Source organism: Homo sapiens, chromosome 5 (genome assembly GCF_000001405.40).
Source record: "Homo sapiens chromosome 5, GRCh38.p14 Primary Assembly".
Classification (NCBI taxonomy): Eukaryota; Metazoa; Chordata; class Mammalia; order Primates; family Hominidae; genus Homo; species Homo sapiens.
This window is the reverse complement of record NC_000005.10, coordinates 112858692-112884387: the sequence shown is the minus strand read 5'-3', so window position 1 is coordinate 112884387 and position 25696 is coordinate 112858692. Positions and strand designations below refer to the sequence as shown.

At 42.1% G+C, this 25696-nt stretch overlaps 2 protein-coding genes across 6 annotated transcripts in view, besides 4 other annotated features; one reads left to right on the top strand and one right to left on the bottom strand.

Annotated features, from left to right (window-relative positions):
- Window positions 1–8003, top strand: part of REEP5 (receptor accessory protein 5) — a 45843-nt gene extending 37840 nt beyond the window's left edge. Inside the window, exon 5 of the mRNA NM_005669.5 lies at window positions 5553–8003. Within this exon, the coding sequence (NP_005660.4) occupies window positions 5553–5602 (50 nt within the window). The 3' untranslated portion in view covers window positions 5603–8003. The remainder of the gene's footprint in view (window positions 1–5552) is intronic.
- Window positions 1–23101, bottom strand: part of SRP19 (signal recognition particle 19) — a 37085-nt gene extending 13984 nt beyond the window's left edge. Inside the window, exons 1-5 of one of the 5 annotated variants that reach the window (NM_003135.3) lie at window positions 22971–23101; window positions 21805–21880; window positions 19860–19931; window positions 19656–19767; window positions 14600–16984 (exon numbers count right to left, since the gene is read on the bottom strand). In NM_003135.3, coding sequence (NP_003126.1) covers window positions 16851–16984; window positions 19656–19767; window positions 19860–19931; window positions 21805–21880; window positions 22971–23011 — 435 coding nt within the window. In that variant the 5' untranslated portion in view covers window positions 23012–23101 and the 3' untranslated portion in view covers window positions 14600–16850. Of the gene's footprint in view, window positions 1–14599; window positions 17017–19655; window positions 19768–19859; window positions 19932–21804; window positions 21881–22970 lie in introns of those variants that run through there. The other 4 variants (NM_001204193.2, NM_001204199.2, NM_001204194.2 and 1 more) reach the window with 4 other exon arrangements.
- Window positions 22804–23103: an enhancer, noted in NCBI's record as "active region_22912". NCBI's record gives its function as "activates an Ori minimal core promoter by ATAC-STARR-seq in GM12878 lymphoblastoid cells {active_cell/tissue: GM12878}" and the evidence as "EXISTENCE:reporter gene assay evidence [ECO:0000049][PMID:35858748]".
- Window positions 22804–23336: a biological region, named in NCBI's record as "Sharpr-MPRA regulatory region 9882".
- Window positions 23042–23336: an enhancer, noted in NCBI's record as "tiled region #9882; HepG2 Activating DNase matched - State 1:Tss, and K562 Activating DNase unmatched - State 1:Tss". NCBI's record gives its function as "activates a minimal TATA promoter and a strong SV40 promoter by Sharpr-MPRA in HepG2 and K562 cells {active_cell/tissue: HepG2 | K562}" and the evidence as "EXISTENCE:reporter gene assay evidence [ECO:0000049][PMID:27701403]".
- Window positions 23204–23283: an enhancer, noted in NCBI's record as "active region_22911". NCBI's record gives its function as "activates an Ori minimal core promoter by ATAC-STARR-seq in GM12878 lymphoblastoid cells {active_cell/tissue: GM12878}" and the evidence as "EXISTENCE:reporter gene assay evidence [ECO:0000049][PMID:35858748]".

Sequence of the window (25696 nt, the reverse complement as noted above, 5' to 3'; positions counted from 1 at the left end):
TAGAAAATGGTAAAAGAAGGAACCATGGGGAATCATACTTTAGAATGAGCTGCATATACAGAAGTCCGGAGGTGGGAGCAACAAAAGAAGTGATCTAGAGGGGTGCAGGAGGAGATGAGGTGGAAGAAGTTGCGAATGGAGGCTGGAAGACGTATCACATAATGCCTTATAGGCCATTGTAAAGGTTTGGCTTCTACTCTATGTGAGATGTGGAGGTACTGGGGACTTTTAACCACAGAAGCAAAATGATCTGTCCTGTGTTTTAATAAGATGCCTGTGGCCACTGTATTAGGAACAGACTGAAGGGGTAAGGCAGGAAGTTGGGAGAACAGTTAAAAGGTTCTTGCAGTGATCTGGCTGGAGGTGATGATGGTGGCTTGGTTCCTTGTGTAGCAGTAGGGGGTAAGAAGTATCAGATTCTTGATATATTTCAAAGGTAGAAGTAATGGGATTTGCTTATGGATTGGCTTATGGATTGGGCATGGGTCAGAGGGGTTAAGGACAAGGACGAGCTTTTTAGCCTGAACAGATGGAAGGATAAAATTGCCACTGAGCTGGAGAAGACTGGGTAGAACAGGTTTTGTTGGGGTGGGAGGTTGTGGTGGGTGGGAGGATATGGAATTTAGTCCTGGACATTTGTTTGAGGTGTCTGTTTGTTAGATACCTACAAGGATTAGTCAAATAGCTAGTTGGATACAGGTGTCAAGAGTTCAAGAAACAGGTCTGGACTGGAGATATAAATTTGGGGGCCACAAGCTTATACATATTAAGCATGAGACTAGATGAGATCACGAAGGTAGTGTAGTTAGGAAACAGGAGGTCCAAAGACTGAACGCTGGGGAGTCTAAGGTTTAGAGACTGGAGAGATGAGAAGCAACTAGCAAAGCAGACTGATAAGGAGTGGCCAATTGAGGTAGCAAGAAAACCATGAGCGTGTGGTATCCCTGGGGCCAAGAACAGAAAGTTTTTCTTTCAGAGAGGAGAAGTGATCTGTCATGTTACATGCTGTCAACAGGTCAAGTAAGATAAGGACTGAGAACTGAGCAGATTTAGCAATGAGGAAGGTACTAGTGATTTTGATAACACAGATTTTGTGGAGTGATATCAAACTCCTGATTGCAATGGATTTGAGAGAATGAGAGAAAAGGGATGAGAGAATATAGATCTTTCTTTTGAGAAATTTCCTGCAAAGGAGAGCAGAAGAATGGGGCTATAACTGGAAGAAGGAATTATGGTCCTGAAATTTTAAAAGTTTTTTTCTTAAGGTAGGAGAAACAAAGCCTGTTTGAAAATTAATGGGAATAATTCAACAGAGCAAAAAATGATGATAGGAGTGAGAGGGTGAATTGTTGGAGCTCTGTCCTTGACCAGTGAAGGATCCAGTATACAGTAGAGGGATTGGTCGAAGAGCTGGAAGTTTATGGTAACAGCAGGGAAATCAGGTTTTATGGTATGCTGTGAGCACATGTGACTATGGGAGCCTACAGAAGTGACTTTCTAATTGTTTCATATTTCTCAGTAAAGTAGGAAGGCCAATTGAGAGAGGATGGGGAAGGAGACAATGGAAAGAGAAGGTATGAAATAGTTGCGAAGGAGAGGGACTGCTCATCTTTTTCTGTAAAGGGCCAGATAACAAATGTTTTAAATTTCGTGGGCTATCATGTCTCTGTTGCAGCTACTCTTCTCTGCCATTGTAGTGTGAAAACAGCCATGGACACTACATAAGCGAGTTTGGCTGCAGTGTGCTGGCCCCTCTAGGACAGTTGGAGAGTAAATGGACTGTCAGGCAGTGTTAAAGGCATGCTTGAGATTTGCGTTCATGAATTTATAGTGAAACCAGTTCTTGTTTATGTTTTTCTCCAGCCATACTCAGCTACATGGGTATAGCTACAGAGTAGGTGGAGAGTTGTGTCAAGGTTGTGATTTCCAGCAAGAACTATGAAGTGAGGGTGGGACTGTGGAGTGGTTAATGCTTGACAATGGAATTTAACCTGAGTAAGGTGGGAAGTGGTGGTGGAAGAACTCTGAATCAGGATAATAGCGGGAATACTCCATCATCATCTACAATGAGCAAAAAAGCAGGGTGGGGAGTGCACTACAAAGATAAAAGGTGATGGTGGCTGAGTGGGATGCTTGATACAAGATTATGGAGGGACTGCAGTATTGGTACTAACAGGGATCCTGGGAGTCAGTGCCATATGTAGGGTGGAATATAAGGGTTATTGGAGGGGAGGAACTAAGAGGTCAGGATATTAGAAGATCATCACATATGTCTACATGGATATTAAAATCATCAATAATTAAAATAGGAGTAGTAGGTCAGGTGCAGTGCTCACACCTGTAATCACAGCACTTCCAGAGGTCAAGGTGGGTGGATTGCTTGAGCTCAGGTGTTTGAGACCAGCCTGAGTAACATGGTGAAACCCAGTCTCTACAAAAAAAAAAAAACACAAAAATTAGCCAGATGTGGTGATGCGTACCAGTAGTCCCAGCTACTCAGGAGGCTGAGATGGGAGGATCACCTGAGCCTGGAGGTTGAGGCTGCAGTGAGCTGAGATGGCATCACTGCATTCCAGCCTGGGTGACAGAGTGAGACCCTGTCTCTAAATAAATAAATAATAGGAGTAGTGTTAGAAAGGAACATTAAGTTAGGAGCTAAAATCTTCAAGAACTAAGGCAAAGTAGCCCAAGAGTCAGGGATGACAGGGAAAGGGAAGGCTACTCAGTGATAGAATCTGATGACATGAGATTCTGAAAGTGGCAATGAAGAACAAAAACAACACCTACCAGATCCATTTGTACTAGGGTCATGAGAGGAAAGAAACAGCCACCACTTGAGAAAGCAGTGTCCTCAGGGCACAGCCAGCTTTCTCTAAGAGCAAGAAGGTAAAGGAAACATTCGGAGGAATGGATGAGGATATAGATTTTGCCAGTGATGGGTCTTGAGTTCCAGAGGGACTCAGATTTTAGAAATTGGAGAAAGGTTTTTGTGTTTTAGAGCTCTGTGGTAGTTAGACATGGGAGTTGTGAGGTTGCCTGACCATGGGGAAGTAAAATCCCAAGACAGTTCTCCAGCAGCACTGATGCCCCAGAAGTGGTATGTTCCCCATTTCTCCCTCACAGACCTCTCTTCTCTGGACTCCTATTTTTGGGCATACAAATCCAGTCTACTTGAATATGTTTTAGGTATTTTTTAACTTGTAGCCTTAACCTCCTCCCACTTTAGGATTGCCAGCTTTTTTTTTTTTTTTTTTTTTTTGAAACAGAGTCTCACTCTGTTGCCCAGGCTGGAGTGCAGTAGCATGATCTCAGCTCACTGCAGCCTCCACCTTCCAGGTTCAAGGGATTCTGCTGCCTCAGCCTCCCAAGTAGCTGTGATTACAGGTGTGGGCCACCACGCCCAGCTGATACTTGTATTTTTAGTAGAGACACCGTTATGCCATGTTGGCCAGGCTGGTTTCAAACTCCTGGCCTCAAGTGATCCACCCACCTCGGCCTCTCAAAATGCTGGGATTACAGGCATGAGCCACCATGCCCAGCCAGGATTACCAGCTTATTTTTAAGAGCTTTCTTTTCTTCTCCCTTCCCTTAGCCTAATCAGCAACCTGTGGTGATGTCATTTCTGTCTACTTCACCCACATTTCTTAGCCTCTTGGTTCTCTTAGATATCAATACTTAAAATCCAATCTTACTTTGTTATGACACATTCCTAAATAGGGGCAAGAGAATTAAAATAAGTTAGGAGGAATTTACATGCTGCCACATTTTAGACTTTTCTCAAAGCTTTTGGATTAACTAGGAATTTCTACAAAGGGTTAGTTAAGGGAAGGACTACATTTTCTCCTTTGCTGTGAACTTGGTTCAGTAATTTTAACTGAGCAAAGGGAGAGCAACTATCAGGCAGCTGGTGGACAAGAAGGGACTCCTTGGCTCTCATCACTAAGGCTCTGGCTCCATCAAGAACAGCTGCAGATTGTAAAATCTCACAGTGGGCCCTGGAGGCTTCTAGACAACCCCTTTCCCCTCCATCTTACACACTGTACTGGTTCTCATAGCACATTCCCTGCCACTTGGTAATTAGAAAGTGGAAGGCTTGGTCTCCTGCAGAAGTAAGAAAATATATTTTTCTTTTTTTTCTATAGAGATGGGCTCTCACTGTGTTTTGGCCAGGGTGATCTCAAACTCCTGGCTTCAAGGAATACTCCTACCTCAGCCTCTCAAAGCTCTGGGATTATAGACATGAGCCACCACACCTGGACAGAATGTTTTCTTGATGAATGTAGTGTCTTGTCACCAACTCAAAGACTTAGAGCAAACTCTTCTCATCATAGGAGAGAATGGTGGCACAATAAGAGTATAAATACAGATTTTAAAAACAATTTAGTATAACAACAATTTATATAGCATTCATGTTGCATTAGGTACTTTAACTAGAGATGGGCTTTTAAAATTTTTTTAAAATAGAGGTGGGGGGTGGGGGTCTCACCATTCATATTGGCCAGGCTGGTCTCAAATTCCTGGCTTCAAGCGATCTTCCCACCTCAGCCTCCCAAAGTGCTGCGATTACAGGCATGAGTCATTATGCCTGGCCGAATTTAAAGTATATGGAAGAGGCCGGGCATGGTGGCTTACGTCTGTAATCCCAGCACTTTGGGAGGCCAAGGCGGGCAGATCACGAGGTCAGGAAATTGAGACCATCCTGGCTAACACAGTGAAACCCCATCTCTACTAAAAATACAAAAAAAAATTAGCTGGGCGTGGTGGTGAGTGCATGTAGTCCCAGCTACTCGGGAGGCTGAGGCAGGAGAATGGCATGAACCCGGGAGGCAGAGCCTGTAGTGAGCCGAGATCGCGCCACTGCACTCCAGGCTGGGTGACAGAGCGAGACTCCGTCTCAAAAAATAAATAAGTAAATAAATAAAGTATATGAAAGCACATAGGTTATATGGAAATACTATGTATGCCATTCTATTTAAGGGCTTGAGCACTCACAGATTTTGGTATCTGTAGGGTTCCTGGAACTAATCTCCTCTCCCCCACCGCCCCCCCAGCCCCCCCCCCCAAACACATATATCAAGGGATGACTGTATTTCTAGTGCTGGGAATGAGGACTTCTCTGATTTGTCGCCATGGGATAAATATGATGACCTAGTTGTCATCAGATTGATAATATATTGATAAGTGAAATCTTACAGGCAAGCACACAGATACAAATAGAATTTGAACACTACTCTTAAGGAATCTCTGCTTCTTTCAATGCTTAAAGGAGAATAGAGGGCAGACAGTTTCGGTGACACTGTCACAACAAGGGGCTAGGCTAGATGACCTTCAAGTATTTTGCTCAAGTATTTAGGATTTGTGCTCTAAGAGGTACCTTCTCCATTTCCTGGAAACCCTCTTAGCCCAGACCACAAACCCCAACATGATCGCACCTGAACATGAGTCATCCAAGTTTTGTTATCTAGTAGCTACATTAGGCACAAAGCTTGCAAGCTTGCATTCCAAAGAAAGAGCTTTGATATATTTTTCTTTCCCTCCTAACAAACAAACAGCGAAGAAAGCTACCGTGAATTTACTGGGTGAAGAAAAGAAGAGCACCTAAACCAGACTGGATGGAAACTTCCTGCCCTCTCTGTACCTTCCTACTGGAGCTTGATGTTATATTAGGGACTGTGGTATAATTATTTTAATAATGTTGCCTTGGAAACATTTTTGAGATATTAAAGATTGGAATGTGTTGTAAGTTTCTTTGCTTACTTTTACTGTCTATATATATAGGGAGCACTTTAAACTTAATGCAGTGGGCAGTGTCCACGTTTTTGGAAAATGTATTTTGCCTCTGGGTAGGAAAAGATGTATGTTGCTATCCTGCAGGAAATATAAACTTAAAATAAAATTATATACCCCACAGGCTGTGTACTTTACTGGGCTCTCCCTGCACGCATTTTCTCTGTAGTTACATTTAGGATAATCTTTATGGTTCTACTTCCTGTAATGTACAATTTTATATAATTCTGAAATGTTTTTAATGTATTTGTGCACATGTACATATGGAAATGTTACTGTCTGACTACAACATGCATCATGCTCATGGGGAGGGAGCAGGGGAAGGTTGTATGTGTCATTTATAACTTCTGTACAGTAAGACCACCTGCCAAAAGCTGGAGGAACCATTGTGCTGGTGTGGTCTACTAAATAATACTTTAGGAAATACGTGATTAATATGCAAGTGAACAAAGTGAGAAATGAAATCGAATGGAGATTGGCCTGGTTGTTTCCGTAGTATATGGCATATGAATACCAGGATAGCTTTATAAAGCAGTTAGTTAGTTAGTTACTCACTCTAGTGATAAATCGGGAAATTTACACACACACACACACACACACACACACACACACACACACAGAGTAACCTGTAACTCTCAATTCCCTGAAAAACTAGTAATACTGTCTTATCTGCTATAAACTTTACATATTTGTCTATTGTCAAGATGCTACAATGGAAACCATTTCTGGTTTTATCTTCAAAGCGGAGAAACATGTTGATTTAGTCTTCTTTCCCAATCTTCTTTTTTAAACCAGTTTAAGGAACTTCTGAAGATTTGTCCACCTCTGATTACATGTATGTTCTTGTTTGTATCATTAGCAACAACATGCTAATGACGACACCTAGCTCTAAGAGCAATTCTGGGAGAATGAAAGGAAGTATAAAGTAACCCATAATCTGCTTGGCAATAGTTAAGTCAATCTATCTTCAGTTTTTCTCTGGCCTTTAAGGTCAAACACAAGAGGCTTCCCTAGTTTACAAGTCAGAGTCACTTGTAGTCCATTTAAATGCCCTCATCCGTATTCTTTGTGTTGATAAGCTGCACATGACTACATAGTAAGTACAGAACAGTAAAGTTAAAACGGATGTCTCCATTGATCTGCCAAATCGTTATAGAGAGCAATTTGTCTGGACTAGAAAATCTGAGTTTTACACCATACTGTTAAGAGTCCTTTTGAATTAAACTCGACTAAAACAAGTGTATAACTAAACTAACAAGATTAAATATCCAGCCAGTACAGTATTTTTTAAGGCAAATAAAGATGATTAGCTCACCTTGAGATAACAATCAGGTAAGATCATAACAATGTCTCATGATGTAAAAAATATTAAAGATATCAATACTAAGTGACAGTATCACTCTAATATAATATGGATCAGAGCATTTATTTTGGGGAGGAAAACAGTGGTGATTACCGGCATTTTATTAAACTTAAAACTTTGTAGAAAGCAAACAAAATTGTTCTTGGGAGAAAATCAACTTTTAGATTAAAAAAATTTTAAGTATCTAGGAGTATTTAAATCCTTTTCCCATAAATAAAAGTACAGTTTTCTTGGTGGCAGAATGAAAATCAGCAACTTCTAGCATATAGACTATATAATCAGATTGACAGCATATAGAATATATTATCAGACAAGATGAGGAGGTACAAAAGTTACTATTGCTCATAATGACTTACAGGCTAAAATTAGTTTTAAAATACTATATTAAATTCTGAATGCAATTTTTTTTTGTTCCCTTGAGACCAAAATTTAAGTTAACTGTTGCTGGCAGTCTAAGTGTAAATGTTAACAGCAGGAGAAGTTAAGAATTGAGCAGTTCTGTTGCATGATTTCCCAAATGAAATACTGCCTTGGCTAGAGTTTGAAAAACTAATTGAGCCTGTGCCTGGCTAGAAAACAAGCGTTTATTTGAATGTGAATAGTGTTTCAAAGGTATGTAGTTACAGAATTCCTACCAAACAGCTTAAATTCTTCAAGAAAGAATTCCTGCAGCAGTTATTCCCTTACCTGAAGGCTTCAATCATTTGGATCAACAACTGCTACTCTCGGGAAGACTCCTCTACTCACAGCTGAAGAAAATGAGCACACCCTTCACACTGTTATCACCTATCCTGAAGATGTGATACACTGAATGGAAATAAATAGATGTAAATAAAATTGAGTTCTCATTTAACTGTTATATTTCATTTTATTTTGTGGGGCTTTTTTCCTAACCCAGAATTATTTAAGGAAAGTTTTAAGTAAATACAGATAAATGAGCCATGAACACTGCTCTTTATTAACTCTATTCCTCACATGGCTTGTAGTTTTCTCCTGGTGGTTCTTGCCTACCAGAGGAAAAGACTTGTCCTAAAGAAAACATACCAACTCAAAAAGTTTCTACCAATAATTAGCACTACATTTAAAGGAAACCGAATCCACTGTTTTTTTTTAACCTGTGTATTGCATTACACACAAAGAAGTCTCCTATGACTTAAGATAGTGTATTGCATGCATCTTGATGTAATAAACTTTTTTTTTTTTTGAGATGGAGTCTTGCTCTGTCACCCAGGCTGGAGTGCAGTGGCGCAATCTCAGCCGCCTCCCGGGTTCATGCCATTCTCCTGCCTCAGCCTCCCGAGTAGCTGGGACTACACGCACCCGCCGCCACGCCTGGCTACTGTTTTGTATTTTTTAGTAGAGACGGGGTTTCACCATGTTAGCCAGGATGGTCTCGATCTCCTGACCTCATGATCCACCCGCCTCGGCCTCCCAAAGAGCTGGGATTACAGGCATGAGCCACCGCGCCTGGCTTTGATGTAGTAAACTTTTTACATGTGCCTCCAAATTATGCTGTACTTGTTTTCAGAAGAGATCAAGAAAAGGAGTACTTGAGAATTTTGATAAAAATACCCACTTCTGGCCTAGCGGACCTGTAATCCCAGCACTTTGGGAAGCCGAGGTGGGCGGATTGCTTGAGTGCATGAGTTCAAGACTAGCCTGGGCCACATGGTGAGACCCTGCCTCTACAAAAAATACCAAAAAATTAGCTAGGTGTGGTGGAACGTACCTGTAGTCCCAGCTCCTCAGGAGGCTGAGGTGGGAGGACTTGAGCCTGGGAGGTCAAGGCTGCAGTGAGCCAAGACGGTGCCAGTGCACTCCAGCCTGGGCGACAGGGCCAGACCCTGTCTCAAAAAAAAAAAAAACCAAAAACAAAAACAAAACGTACTTCTGAAGGTATGCGCTGGTCCGCACGGTCACCTACATCTGCTTTTTGATGTCTGCATGTCTAGAATTATGGTGTTTAGAATAACACAGGTACAATTCAGATCTTTACCCATCAAAGATTACAGTTCTATATAGCATGGCTGGAAAGTAAACATATTTGAGGATATTAAAAGTTTTCCTGGCTCACTGCTAGAACATTAACTCTTAAAATCTTACAACATACACATTTAAGAGTTTCCTTGGTTAGATCGATGCTTCCCAAAAACTTTGGTGTGGGCCGGGCACGGTGGTTCACACCTGTAATCCCAGCACTCTGGGAGGCCAAGGTGGGTGGATCACCTGAGGTCAGAAGTTCGAGACCAGCCTGGCCAACATGGTGAAACCCTGTCTCTCCTAAATACAAAAAAATTAGCCGGGTGTGGTGGTGCATTCCTGTAATCCCAGCTACTTGGGAGGCTGAGGCAGGAGAATGGCTTGAACCCAGGAGGCAGAGGTTGCAGTGAGCCGAGATCACGCCATTTGCACTCTAGCCTGGGAGACGAGCGAAACTCCGTCTCAAAAAAAAAAAAAAAAATTGGCGCACATCAGAACTGATGGAGGATGGGGATGGAGAGGAGTGTTGTTAAAAAAGATTACTGTCCTCTCAGATTCTGATTCAGGAAGTCTGGGGTGGGGCTGAAAGTTCTTCATTATTAAACAGCCCGGGCAATGTTGGGTCCAGGAACTGCACTTTGAGATAAAACCACTGGGTTAGGTAAATGCTATCTTTGTATCTTAATACACAGAGGTTTTCGGACCTGGCTGCACAATGGAATCATCTGAGGACCTTTTCAAAAATATTGATCTCTGCCTCCACTAACAAAGTGCTGATTTAATTAGTCTACCATGGTACCCAGGTGCCAGTATGCTTTAACAACTCTGTAGGTGATCCTAGTATGGAGCCAGGGTTGAGACCCACTGGTAGAGACTAGTAATGATACTAGTATGGATCCTAGTATGGAGCCAGGGTTGAGACCCACTGGTAGAAACTAGTAATGAGGACAAGACTCTTCCTTTGTTAGCCAGGCTGGTCTCAAACTCCTGGGCTTTCAAGTGATCCACTGCCTTGGCCTCCCAAAGTGCTGGGATTACAAGCATGAGCCACCATATCCTGCCACTCTGAACTTTTGTGGTTTTTTGTTTTTTGAGACAAGGACTCACTCTGTCACCCAGGCTGGAGTGCAGTGGCATGATCACAACTCTCTGCAGCCTCAATTTCCTGGGCTCAAGCTATTCTCCCGCCTCAGCCTCCAGAGTAGCTAGAACTACAGGTATGTGCCACCAGGCACATCTAATTTTTTATTTTTTTTTGTAGAGAGGGAGTCTCCCTATGTTGCCCAGGCTGGTCTTGAAGTCCTGGGTTCAAGTGATCTTCTTGCCTCAGCCTCCCAAAGTGCTGAGATTACAGGTGTGAGCCACAGCACCCAGGCCAGATCTCAACTTATAATCAACCTTTTGGTCCTTCTATCTTAAAAACCAGCAACCGAAACAAAGCTACTTAACATGATAGGGATCAAAATAAAAACAGAAAGAAAAAAAGGAACTTGGAAACAATAAGACTATAAATCTCACCTTCTGAGAAATAAATTACATCCATGAACTGAGAATAGAATGCTAGAAAAAGGGAACATGCAGATGACAAGAGCTTAAAGAAGTTAGAAAGAAGGCCGGGTGCAGTGGCTCATGCCCGTAATCCCAGCACTTTGGGAGGCCCAGGCAGGTGGATCACCTGAGGTCAGGAGTTTGAGACCTGCCTGACCAACATGGAGAAACCCCGTCTCTACTAAAAATACAAAAATTAGCCAGGCTTGATGCCGCATGCCTGTAATCCCAGCTACTCGGGAGGCTGAGGCAGGAGAATCGCTTGAACCCAGGAGGCAGAGGTTGCGGTGAGCCGAGATCGGGCCACTGCACTCCAGTCTGGGTGACGGTGTGAAACACCATCTAAAAAAAAAAAAAAAAAAAAGAATAGGAAAGGTTGGAAAATAAAGCTGAGCAAATCTAAATAAAGGCAAAAAAGAAAAAAAAAAAAAAAAAAAAGAAAACCTGAGGATCAGACCAGCAGGTCTAATAGTCAAATAAAAGAGTACCAAGAAAGGTCAGAAAGAGGAGAAAAATTATCAATGAAATTTTCAAAAAACTTTCCCAGAGCTGAAAACACAAATTCCCAGACTGAAAACCCACTTAGCTGCCCAGCACGATGGGCAAAAAAAAAAAAAAAAAGACCCACACAAAGCACACAACTGTTATATTTCAGAATACTGGAACCAGGATCATGATAATAAACTAGAATGGCTACAACTTCCCTTCAGCTACAAGAGGTCAGAAGACCAAAAAGCAATTCCCTTGAATTCCTTAAACAAAATGACTTCCAAAGGTAATTCTATATCCAGCCAAACAATGTAAGGGTAGAATGATGAAATTTTCAAATATGCAAGGTCTAAGAACATTTACCTCTCTTGCACTTTTCTGGGGAAGATCCTGAGAACAAGATATACAAAACAAAGCAGTAACATAAAAAAGAGGAATACACGGGATACACAACAGATATCCCCAAAACAGCAAAGCAGTGGCTTGAGTCACTCCAGACAATGGTGAGAACCCAGAGTGAAGTTGTGCACTAGGTCTAAAGGGTAAGAGATCAGAGCCAGGCAAAGGACTACAGAAAAGATTTTAAAATGATGAGGCCGGGCACAATGGCTCACACCTAATCCCAGCACTTTGGGAGGCCAAGGTGTGCGGATCACTTGAGGCCAGGAGTTGGAGACCAGCCTGGCCAACACAGCGAAACCCCATCTCTACTAAAAATACAAAAATTAGCTAGGCATGGTAACACATGGCTGTAATCCCAGCCACTGGGGAGGCTGAGGCAGAAGAATCCCTTGAACCCGGGAGGCAGAGGTTGCAGTGGGCTGAGATTGTGCCACTGCACTCCAGCCTGGGCAACAAGAATAAGACTCTGTCTCAAAAAAAAAAAAAAAAAAAAAAAGAATCATTTGGGGATCTCATTAAACACATCTGAATTCTGGGCTGGGGCCAGAGATACTGCATTTTTCACAATCTTTCACCAGAGGCCAGTGCTGCTGGTCCTTCAACCATACTTTTAGTAGCAAATGTACTACACGGCTGAGCTGTGAACAGAATGTATAATGTAAACTCTGAATAGTGGTTAAATTATGAAATATATTGGTAGGCTAGGAAGATAGGAAATATGCAAGCATATGGTAGAGAAGAAAAACTAAATCCTCTTCTTCTACAAATGGAAGTTAATGCCTAAAACAGAAACACACTATTAAAACTAGCTGGCTTTTAAAATTATATATAATTCTGATAACAGATTCCTTAAGAAGTGAGTAGAGGATGCGAACTCAGTTCATAAATACGAAAAGCACTTCAACATCTACATAAATACTCAACTGTCTCATTAAGATTCCCTTTTTCAGCTAGGTGTGGTGCCATGTACCTCTAGTCCCAACCACTTGAGAGAATTGCTTGAGCCCAGGAGTATAAGAACAGCCTGAGTGAGATCTCATCTCTTAAAAAAATTTTTTTTGAGACGGAGTTTCACTCTGTCACCCAGGCTGGAGTGCAGTGGCACAATTTTGGCTCACTGCAACCTCCATTTCCCACGGTTCAAGTGATTCTCCTGCCTCAGCCTCCCGAGTAGCTGGGATTACAGGCGCCCACCACCACGCCTGGCTAGTTTTTGTTATTTTTAGTAGAGATAGGGTTTCACCATGTTGGCCAGGCTGGTCTCGAACTCCTGACTGCAAGTCATCTGCCCGCCTCAGCCTCCCAAAGTGCTGAGATTACAGGCATGAGCCACACCACACCTGGCCTCTAAAAAAAAATTTTTTTAATTACAAACTTTTATACTCAGGAGGCTGAGATGGGAGGATCACTTGAGGCTGGGAGGTTGAGGCTGCACTGAGCCGTGATTGTGCCACTGCACTTTAGCCTGGGTGAAAAAGAGAGACCTGTCTCAAAAAAACATTTTTTGGCCTGTTTTAAAAAGATTACAGTTTTCACTTAACAACTGGCAAAAAAAAAAAAAAAAAAAAAAAAAAATTCACTGATTGCACCAATTGCAATAATGTGAAGAAACAGCAATATATTGTTACAGCAATAGTTCTGAAATCTTAGTGTTTTATGTTGTTGCAACAGAACACCACAGACTGGGTATCTTAAAAAACGAATAGAAATTGGCTGGGCGTGGTGTATCATGAGGTCAGGAGTTCAAGACCAGCCTGGCCAACATGGTGAAACCCCATCTTTACTAAAAACTACATAAATTAGCTGGGTACAGTGGCAGGCACTTGTAATCCCAGCTACTCGGGAGGCTGAGGCAGGAGAATCACTTGAAACCAGGCGGCAGATATTGCAGTGAGCTGAGATCGCACCGCTGCACACCAGCCTGGGCAATGTGTATTTGGCTCATGATTAGGAGCTGGGAAATCCAAAAGCATGGCACCTGTATATGGCAAGGGTCTTTGATGCTGTGTGATCCCATGGTGGAAGGTGAGAGGACAAAGAGGGTGCGCTGAGGAGAGCAAAAGAAAAATTTGGCTGAACTCCATTTTATAACAAACCCACTCCTCAGATAGTAACATTAATCCATTCCTGAGGGCACAGCCCCCATGGCCCAATCACCTCCCAAAGGTTCCACCTCTCAATAACATCACAATGGCAATTAAATTTCAACATGCATTTTGGAGGGGACATCCAAAATATGGCACTGACAATCCTTATTGCCCCAAAAGTAAACCATTTCCAGATTTCAACCATCTTTCTGTGACAAATCTTTTCAGTTGGCTACCACAGTACGTTTTTTTTTTTGAGACAGGGTCCAGCTCTGCTGAGGTGAGTGGAATAGCATGATCACGGCTCACTGCAGCCTCACCTCCAGGGCTCAAGCAGTCCTCCCACCTCAGCCTCCCAAGTAGCTAAGACTATAGGCATGTGCCACCATGCCCAGCTAATTCTTTTTTTTGTAGAGACAGTCTCACTATGTTGCCCAGGTTGGTCCCGACTTCCTGGACTTCAGTGATCCTCCTGCCTCAGCCTCCCAATGTGCCGCGATTATAGGTGTGAGCCACTGTACCTGACCCAGTATGCATTCTCAACTACTTTCTTCCTTAGCTGCCTTGGCTGTCAGGACTGAAAAAGCTATGCAGTCATCCCTCATCTGTGGTTTCACTTCTGTGGTTTCAGTTACCTTGGTCCCAAAACAGGTGAGTATAGCACAATATTTTGAGAGAGACTGACAATTTCCACATACATTTTATTATAGTATATTATTATAATTGTTCTATTTTATTGTTAATCTGTTACTGTGTCCAATTTATAAACTTTATCATAGGTATGTATTAATCCATTCTCACACTGCTATGAAGAAATATCCAAAACTGATTAATTATAAAGGAAACAGGTTTAACTGACTCACAGTTCCGCATTGCTGGGAAGGCCTCAGGAAACTTACAATCATGGCAGAAGGCAAGGAGAAGCAGGCACCTTCACAGGGCAGCAAGATGGAGTGACTGCAAGCAGGGGAAACGCCAGGCACTTATAAAACCAACAGATCTCCTGAGAGTCACTCATTATCTCAAGAACAGCACAGGGGAAATTGCCCCCATGATCCAATTATCTCCACCTGGTCCCACCCTTAACACATAGGGATTTGGGGATTATAATTCAAGATGAGATTTTGGGTTGGGTAGCAGCCAAACCATATCAAGTATATATACATAGGCAAAAACATAGTATATATAGGGTTCAGTACTATCTGCTGTTTCAGGGATCCACTCTTGGAATGTATTCCCCAAGGATAAGGAGGACTGCTGTGTTCACTTTCTCAGCCTCCTTTGCAGCTAGAGATGGACCTGTCACAGTTCTCAACAATGAAACTAAGTGAAAGCCTGCTGGGAGGAATTTTGAGAAATCTCATGCCTATGGTCTCAGCTACTTGGGAGGCTAAGGTGGGAGAACTGCTTGCCAGAAGTGGCTGGCACAGCTACCTTTTCTTCCTGCCTTGCACTCATGTAAATATCAGCCCTTTTACAAGCAGGAACAATAATCATAAAGGTGTTAGAAATATGTCATGGACAGCAGAGCGGAAAAATACAAAAAAGGCATCACTGAGAGCTAAACCAACCACCACAGCAACCTCACTTGGATTTAACATATGAGGCAAAAATATCCTGCTTAAATCCTTCATTGTTTTGTTACACAGCAAACACATCCCCTTATTGTTTTGTTACACAGCCAAACACACCCACTTTCTCAAAGAAGGCTGCTCTGAATTATGTTTTACACATACTCCCCTCTCCCCAGGATTTATTTGTAAGTCAAATATATAAACTAAGTCTTATACTATTATGTTCACTATAAAACAGAAATTGTTAGAGTTAAAAAAAAAAAGTCAACAGGCCAGCTAGCTCATGCCTGTAATCCCAGCACTTTGGGAGGTTGAGGCAGGAGGATCACTTGAGCCTGGGAGTTTAAGACCCTGTCTCAATTCAAATAAATAAATACATATAAATCTCCACAACTCTAGGTTTGCTTATTTTACAATCAATAGGAATGTTTGACTGTGAGCAATAAAAATGTAAAGAAGGCCGGGCACGGTGGCTCATGCCTGTAATCCCAGCACTTTGGGAGGCTGAGGTGGGCAGATCACCTGAGGTCGGGAGTTCGAGACCAGCCTGACCAACATGGAAAAACCCTGTCTCTACTAAAAATACAAAATTAGCCGGGTGTGGTGGCACATGCCTGTAATCCCAGCTCCTAGGGAGGCTGAGGCAGGAGAATCTCTTGAACCTGGGATGCAGAGGTTGTGGTACGCCGATATCGTGCCATTGCACTCCAGCCTAGGCAACAAGAGTGAAACTCCATCTCAAAAACAAACAAACAAACAAACTTAAAAAAAATGGAATTTACTGAAAATATGAGATAGCTTGCAGAATTCAAGGAAGAGCTAAACCAGGCCTCAGGAAGAACAGGAATTGGGATAGCTCAAAATCACTACTTTCAGAAACCGCTCTGAAATTCTGGAGCACCAATCCAATTTCATTTGTTGAAGGAAAGTGTACCTCAAGGTGCTAAAGCACAGTTAATTTTACAACTCCCATGAAAATCATGTTCTTAAACCTACAAAATAAGCAAATTTAAAGCTTAAAATCCAGGACTTTCCATGTCAAAAAACAACTGAACGATTCGATTACAATAATATATTAAAATATCATCTACAGACTGGCTTTTTACAGACTCCCCTGTCCCCCACCCACAAAAGGACCTACCACAGTTTCTTCTAGTTTTAGCCTCACACTATGGAAACTTTCACTACATATTTTATTCTTAATTATCCCTCCTCTCCTAGCATTAGTATATAAGCAAAAGCTGCAAAAGTCAGTTTCAAATTTTATTTCATTAACTTAAAAGGTGGACAAAATGTTTATTTTAAATCTAATTGAAATTTATCTGAAACAACTTATTTCAAGTAACTTATTGTACAGTCCATTGTCCATTTAAAAATATTTTCTTCCAAAAAACTGCATTGAAAGACAAAAAAATTCTTTTATACGGCATATACGCGAGATGCAAACTTCTGATGTAAATTTGTTTCACTGTCAACTCCGATGATAAAGATGAGAGGCACAAGGGTTCACAGTTCAGTTAAATGATGCAAACAAAAAGCTTCTGTTTCCCTCCGATACAAATTAGAAGTCTCCATTCATGTCTCTTACAGTAGTACCACATACTTGATGCTGATACTAGGTTACTTCTTTTTCTTTCCTTTCCCTTTTTTACTTCCCTCTCCTTGTTGAAGACTTTGGTCAGCACCTCCTGTTTTTTGTGTCCTTGTTTTTAGTTTAGGTATCATTTCTGCTGCATACAACATTACTGACTTACCTAGGAACCAGAAGTTAGGCTTAGTGTATAATCTGAGAAATAAGACATAAAAAGTCATCAAATTGAATATCACAAAGTGTAAGAAACTATCACATCAAGAAAATGGAAAATAACTTTTTTAAAAAATCAAAAATCAAATGACTGAAGACACTGACTAGCTCAAGTCGGGGGAAATGTACTGAGAGTGAGAATAATGCTGAAAATATTTAAATGAATAAAATCAAAAGGCAAAACACTAAGTATGAAACAAAAATTTTGGTTTGGTCCTAGTAATCAGCTTGAAGATCTAAGGAGTATGTATCCAAATATACCTCAGGTAGAAACAGAGTCAGAATATCACTGTATCTTAAGACACTGAAATACAGGGTTTTCTCAGTCTTACAACAAAAAAACAGTATCATCAAGTTACAAGCGATCCGATGGGTAAGATCAGATGATCTACACTTACATGCATTCCTGCTCTGCACACCTACAACCAGCTACCTTCACCCCCAACAGACCAAGTTCCTCAGCTCTGCTTTCTTTTTACTATCTTACTTGGGTCTTACTGGAAATAGGAAGTGACATGTTCTCACCACAACTTCTACCCCTATTTTATCTACTAGTTAATTACAAGTTTTTGTTTGTTTTTGGTCTTTTGAGATATAATATAGGAAAATGTTAAGGAGAAAAAACATATCAGAATATGATGTCACTCCTTAGTCACAACCTGAAGCATCTAGCAATACCTACCAATCCTGATGGGTTTTAGTATATAAAAAACAATCTATTTTAGGCTGAGCCCAGTGGGTCATGTCTGTAATCTCAGCTCTTTGGGAGGCTGAGGCAGGAGGATCACTTGTGTCCACGAGTTTGAGACTGGCTTAGGAAACATAGCAAAACCCCATCTCTAGAAAAAATAAAAAATCATGTGCCGATATTCCCAGCTACTTGGGAGGCTGAGGCAGGAGGGTTGCTTGAGCCCAAGAGGTCAAGACTGCAGTGTGTTGGCTGGGCGCAGTGGCTCACGCCTATAATCCCAACATTCTGGGAGGCCAAGGTGGGCGGATCACCTGAGGTCGAGAGTTCGAGACCAGCCTGACCAAGATGGAGAAACTCCATCTCTACTAAAAATACAAAATTAGCCGGGTCTGGTGGCTCATGCCTGAAATCCCAGCTACTCAGACGGCTGAGGCAGGAGAATCACTTGAACCCGGGAGGCGGAGGTTGCGGTGAGCCAAGATCACGCCATTGCACTGCAGCCTGGGCAACAAGAGCAAAACTCTGTCTCAGAAAAAAAAAAAAAAAGAAAAAAGACTGCAGTGTGCCATAATCGTGCCACTGCACTCAACCTCGATGACAGAGTGAGACCTTGTCTTTAAAAATAAAAGTTCAAACATGCAGGCTGGGCATGGTGGCAAACGCCTGTAATCTCAGCATTTTGGGATCTCCCCAAGATGGGAAGATTGCTTGAGTTTGAGACTAGCCTGGGCAACACAGTGAGACCCTTGTCTCTCTATTTTAAAAAAATCAGGCCGGGGGCAGTGGCTTATGCCTGTAATCCCAGCACTTTGGGAGGCCGAGGTGGGTGGATCACGAGGTCAAGAGATCGAGACCATTCTGGCCAACATGGCGAAACCCCATCTCTATCAAAAATACAAAAGTTAGCTGGGTGTGATGGCACATGCCTGTAGTCCCAGCTACTTGGGAGGCTGAGACAGGAGAATCGCTTGAACCAGGGAGTCGGAGGTTGCAGTGAGCTGAGATCGCGCCACTGTACTCCAGCCAGAGCGAGACTCCATCTCAAAAAAAAAAAAAATCAAACAAGCTGTCAGTTCGTCTGACGATTTCATTATTTTTAAGTAAATTTAATGACAGTTTAATTAAACTGAGGGGGTTATTAAACTGAAAGAAAAAATTAATAGCTCTGTTTTAAAAAATTAAAATTTTCAGAGATGAAAATTCAGAAAAATAAACAACATGCAAACAAAAACTTATCTTCCTAATATTCAGAACATTCTGTTATATTGATGTCGTTTTGCTATTGTTTTTCATAAAATAAAACACTAGAGATGATGCAACAGTCTTCTATGACCATCAACCCGTGTCTCTACTCTCTACCCCGCTCACCATTAGGTGACTACTCTCTTAAGAATGAGTGTTTCCTTACAGAGCATTTCAAAAAAATGCCAATAAGCAACATTACATATGCATCTATCAATAAATAGTAATATTTTGTATTTAAATTTACCTAAGTGGTACCACACTATGTATATCTCTTGCTTTTTTCAGTCAATATTGCTTTTCAGATTTATTAATGATAGAATCATTAGATATTATAGATATTAACAGACCTCAAGGACCTCTAGGATCTGAAATGGCAATTAACATCCAACGATTTAATAATTTTATATTCTTAACCTGGGAGCAATGACAGACTTCCAGAGGTTTATAAAATGTTCACACAACAATTTTTTTGAAAAATGTTTAGTGGGTCTCATTACATTTTCAAAGAGGTCATTCACCTCAAAGAAATTAGAACTACTGCTTCTCTCCATGAGCAGTAGTCCTGTCTTTAAATTAATCTTCAGAATGCAAATTCTGACTTTTACCTTTCAGTTTTAGAACCTTTTTTGTGTTGTGTAGGAGAAACCTATCCCTGAGCCCCACTGATTCATTTAAACAAGCTTACGTGATGGGAACTGTACAAGGCAGAGGCTCCCATCTTCCTGTTTGAGCTGGACCCGGACTCTGCCTCTGTATTGGACATCACGATTCCATTCTCTAGAGTACATTTTATTTTTCTAACATAAACGAAACAAAAGAAAAACAGGACTTAAGAAAGTTATTACATCAATTAGATGAGTATGGAAAATAGTGAAGAACCACGTCATACCTCAAGAAATACGTTAAGTCCAACTGCTGAACATACATCTTGAATCTCTGTAGCTGTAGGATTTTCAACAGCCTGAACAGTTAAAAACATAAACACTAAATATATGTGCTTTAAGTGGACACTGCCATAGTGTTGGGTAAATAATTTCAAATACTATAATCAAACAAGTACCAAAACCCTAGGTTTCCTTTTTCATTAAGTACAGATGCTTCTATTGTAATTTTAAAAATTCCTAGGAATAACACTAATGCGTAACTGTGTGCCCATCTCCCCTCCAACAGAACATAAACTTCTGAGGGCAGGGGCTTTGTTTTGTTAACCAGTGTATTCCCCAGCACCTAGCATGGTACTCTCAACATAGTAGGTGCTCAATGATTATTGACTGCTTAAACAATTACACATACAAACACTTTAGAAAACTGCTAGTATCTACTAAAGCTGAATATATGCATTCTCTATGGCCCTGCAATTCCATTCCCAGATGCGTTCTACAAAAAAGCAAAAATATGTTCTCTAAAAAACATCTATTTATAATAGCCTCAAACTATTAATAGAAATAATCCAATTTTCCATCCAGAGTAGAAAGGGCCAGGTGTGGTGGCTCACACCTGTAATCCCAGCAGATCACTTCAGCTCAGGAGTTTGAGACAAGCCTGGACAACATGGAGAAATCTCATTGCTACAAAAAAATACCAAAGTAGCCGGACATGGTGGCATGTGCCTGTAGTCCCAGCTACTCAGAAGGCTGAGGTTGGAGGATGGCTTGAGTCCAGGAGGTGGAGCCTGCAGTGCGCTGAGACTACACTGCCGCACTCCAGCCTGGGTGACAGAGCCAGACCCTGTCTCTTAAAAAAACAAACAAAAAAGAAGGTAGAAAAGACTTTGGCATACTCACACCATGCGATACTATAGAGGAGACAGGGCAGTAGTTTTGAGCAGGGAAATTCTGTCCTCAGCCTCCCTACCCCTACCCACACACAAAAGACATCTAGCAATGCTTGGAGACATTTTTGATTGTCACAACTAGGGGATGGGGGGCTGGAGGGGGCTGACCTGTCATCTAGTGGGTAGAGGCCAGGGATACTGCTGAACATCTTAAAATGCACAGAACAACCCCCAACAACAATTATCTAGCTCAAATCGGCAATGGTGCTGCTATTGACAAACCCTGTTATAGAGCAATGAAAATTCAACTACATTCAAATATGTAGGTAAATCTCAAAAGCTTAAAGTTCAGTGAAAAAAAGATACAAAATTACATAGTGTGTAATTCCATTTACAGAAAACTGAAAAAGCAGCAAAAGTAATCTATGGTGTTGAAGTCATAACGGTGGTCATCCTGGTATTTTTGAGCATATGCGGAGGCGACAGTGACTGAGAGGGAACATAAAGCAATCTTCCTGGATGCTTGTAGTGTTTTCTTTTTTGAGTGCTTGTTACCACCCAGATGTACTCATCATGGGAGAATTCACTGCATCAAACCTAGGTGTCTTAAATCTGTCATATTACAAAATACAAATGACACTTTAATAAAACTCAACAGGGCTGAACTTTCTGCATGTCTTCTTCACACACTTAAAAAAATCTCAACTACATTCTGAACATTATTAATGTATCGTACAATGTCATAATTTTGATTTCCTATATCAAGGGAAACACCGTCATAACCTTTGTTTTAAAAACATGTGAACTCTACACTCTGCCCCCACTCCTTTACAAACAAAGGCTCATTAAGAGACGTTAAAAAAATATCCCTTCAGCTATGAATTAATGCCTTTCTGGTTTCACCAACACTGAGGAACGCACCCCAATTCTTGGCTGTGTTCTCAAGCCCTAAATAAATGCAGTGAAGAGAACCCCCTGCGGCTCTAACAAGATTACGTGGCCCGACCAGGATGACACCCCCCATTCCCTCGAGGATCAAGGTGCCAGCCATCTTGCTTACCTTACTTATGGGGATTCGCCTTCCCTCTGCGATGGTCTTCTTATTATTTAAATAAGCAGGATAGATACAAATAAACCTGCCATAGACAATAGCATAAGTGGTATCACTAGAGCAGTAAGAGGCAGGAGAAAAGGGTCGGGTGGCAGGGAACCAAAGGCCAATTCATGCTGCCTAGATATCAGATGGGTACTCCCTTTTCAACCCCTCCTTTTTCTGCGTGGCAGTTGAAAAATCAAAGTACCTCGGAGTGGTCCCCTCGAGCAACTAATCAGACTGGCCGCGGGCCTACTCCTCTTTCTGATTGATCCCCCTCCCTCAACCAATCAGACTGGCACAGGTCAATGGGAAACGTCTAGAGGGTATTTAAACCCTAGAAAATTCTGTAACCAACAGCTCTTGGGTAGCTTGCTGGAGCCGGCTCCCACCCTGTGGAGTGTACTTTTGTTTAAAATAAATCTGCTTTCGCTGCCTTGCTTTGTGTGTTTTGTTCAATTCCTTATTCAAAACGCCAAGAACCTGGACAACTACACTCAACAGATAACAAGTATTTTCAAAAATACATTCTTTCGGTCCGTGGTAGTCGTCATCATTGCTGGTACACCTATGCTATTATTTGCTTAATGTTATTTCTTTAAATTACCTCACTTTAACTTATTTAAAAATAAACTTTATCCACTACCTTGGATGGAAAAAAACCACAGGAATAGAAACAAAACGACTTGGGTAACTGTTACATTAGACAGAGCAGCCCGTCAAAAGTTCCTGAGAATGGGCCCGCCCTCTTATATAAAGTGTCCGAGGTATTAAAAACCTTAAAATTTCACAAATGAGCCTTTCTGAACGCAACAATACTTAAAAAGAACACATTTCTCACACTGTGATTATATTACTTGATATCATGTCCACGTAGCACCCAAAATCCTTGTCTCGCGTACAGATAAACACTAGGCTACCTATGGTCGGAATTTCAGGAGCCCTGAGAAGAGCCTGGTGGCTGCTGCAGGATTCAGAAAAACGAGCTGCCAGGGAGAGGCGCGGGGCCCGTACAGAGCGAGTTGGATCAGCTAGGCCATTCTGGAGGCCGCGGAGCGGAGAAGCGCGGTGTAGCACCTGCAGCACCACAGCAAGCCCCTTCCTTTCGGAGGACCCACCGCCTCAGAACCCACCTGTCCTGGTCGGCCGGGGACCGCGCGGCAGCGCAAGCCATCTTCACAAGAGTCTCAACAACCCAGGAGCCGCAGGGAGAAACCCGGCAGAAACCCGGGAGGAACCCGGCTCTGAGTTTCCGAGACAGCCCGCTTTTCCGCCGGAAGTCCTGCCCAAGAAATGGTTCCGCGTCCGCGATTTCTCATCGCCTGTTTGTTCCGGCACCTGTCGCTCGGCGCCAGGATCTCTAGTCTCTGACGTGGCATGAAGACTTCCCTTCTCGCGAGAGAATCATGAAAGCTTCTCATTCCTTTCCCAAGCCGGGAAGACCATGTGGGGCGCATGCACCGCCACTAAAAAGGGTTTAACTTCGACCCTCCCTCGTTTCCAGTTTCTCAGCGAGTATGGGTGGTACTAGCTACTCTCTGTTAAGGGGCGAAGACTGTGCCACGAGGGGAATCTGTGTGGTTCAGGATGCAAATATATGTTAGACAGGGAAGGAAATACTCCTTACGTTTAATTTTTCTCCGTTCCTGGGCTCTAGAGCTTGCTTTCAGTTTGGCAAAATGGATTTTTGTAGTGGTAGAACTAGCAAAGTTATAGACGTTGTGTTTCAGTGTGCTCTGCGTTAGAAACTTAGCTATTCACCTTTTAGGCCGGGTGCGGTGGCTCACGCCTGTATCCCAGCACTTTGGGAGACTGAGGCAGGTGGATCATGAGGTCAGGAGTTGGAGAGCAGCCTGGCCAACATGCTGAAACCCCGTCTGTACTAAAAATACAAAAATTAGCCGAGTGTGGTGGCACACGCCTGTAATCCCAGCTACTCGGAGGCTGAGACAGGAGAATCACTTGAACCCAGGAGGTGGAGGTTGCAGTGAGCTGAGATCACACCACTGCACTCCAGCCTGCGTAACAGAGCAAGACTCCGTCTAGGAAAAACGAAACAAAACTATTCACCTTTTAAAACTTCTGAAGGATACCATGTGCCATCACTACAGGCATACTTCATTATTGCACTTCACTTGCTGCTGCGAGTAGATACTGCCTTTTTACAAATGGAAGGTTTTTGGCAAATCCGCCTGAAAGAAGTTGCTTGGTGCCATTTTTCCAGCAGCGTATACTTTGTGTCACATTTGGTAATTTTTGCAATATTTCAAACCTTTTCATTATTTCTGTTATGGTGATCGGTGATCAGTGATGTTTGCTGTTACTATTGTAATAGTTTTAAGGCCGGGTGCGGTGGCTCACGCCTGTAATCCCAGCACTTTGGGAGGCCGAGGCAGGTGGATCACGAGGTCAGGAGATAGACACCATCTTGGCCAACATGGTGAAACCCCATCTCTACTAAAATATAAAAAATAAGCCAGGCATGGTGGCACAGGCCTTTAGTCCCAGCTACTCGGGAGGCAGGGGAATCTCTTGAACCCAGGAGGTGGAGGTTGCAGTGAGCCAAGATCACACCACTGCACTCCAGCCTGGCGACAGTGCAAGACTCCGTCTCAAATAATAATAATGTTTTGGGGCACCATGAACCATGCCCAGATAAGATGGGGAACTTAATGGATAAATGTTGTGTATGTTTTAACTGTTCGACCAACTGGCCATTTCCCATCTCTCTCCCTCTTCTGGAGTCCCTATTCCCTGAAACACAACAATGTTGAAATTAGGCCAGTTAGTAACCCTACAATGGCCTCTAAGTATTCAAGTGAAAGGAAGAGTCACACGTCTCACATGTCAAAAGATGGAAATGATTAAGCTTAGTGAGGAAGGCATATGTAAGCCAAGATAGGCTGAAAGCTAGGCCTCTTGGCACCTAACAGCCAAGTTGTAAATACAAAGACAAAATTCTTGAAGGAATTAAAAGGAAATTACTTCAATAAACACACAAATGATCAGAAAGCAAAACAACCTTATTGCTGATATGGAGAAAGTTTTAGGGGTTTGGATAGAAGCTCAAACCAGTCACAACATTCCTTTAACCCAAAGCCTAATCCGAGCAAGGCCCTAACTCCCTTCAATTCTGTGAAGGCTGAGAAAGGTGAGGAAGCTTCAGAAGTGGGAAGCTAGTAGAGGGTGGTTCAGGAGGTTTAAGAAAGAATCCATCTCCATAACATATAACATAAAAGTGCAAGGTGAAGCAGCAAGTGCTGATAGAGAAGCTGCAGCAAGTTATCCAGAAAATGTAGCTAATATCATTGACGATGATCAATGATTAGCTAGTATCATTTAGTGGCTACACTAAACAACAGATTTTTCAATGTAGACAAAACAGTCTTCTATTGGAAAAAGATACCATCTAGGATGTAGCACCCAAAATCCTTGTCCCTTTGAGAGAAGTCAATGTCTGGCTTCAGAGCTGCCCCATTTAGTGGCTACACTAAACAACAGGTTTTTCAATGTAGACAAAACAGCCTTCTATTGGAAAAAGATGCCATCTAGGATGTAGCACCCAAAATCCTTGTCTCTTTGAGAGAAGAAGTCAATGCCTGGCTTCAAAGCTGCCAAGGACAGGCTGATTATCTTGTTAGGGAACAATGCAGTTGGTGATTTTAAGTTAAAGCCAATGGACATTTACCATGCAGAAAATCCTAGAGACCCTAGAATGATGCTAAATCAACTCTGCCTGTGTTCTCTAAATGGAACAACAAAGCCTGGATGACAGTACATCTGTTTACAGCATGGTTTACTGAACTATTTTTTTGAGACAGTCTCGCTCTGTCACCCAGGCTGGCATGCAGTGGCCCTA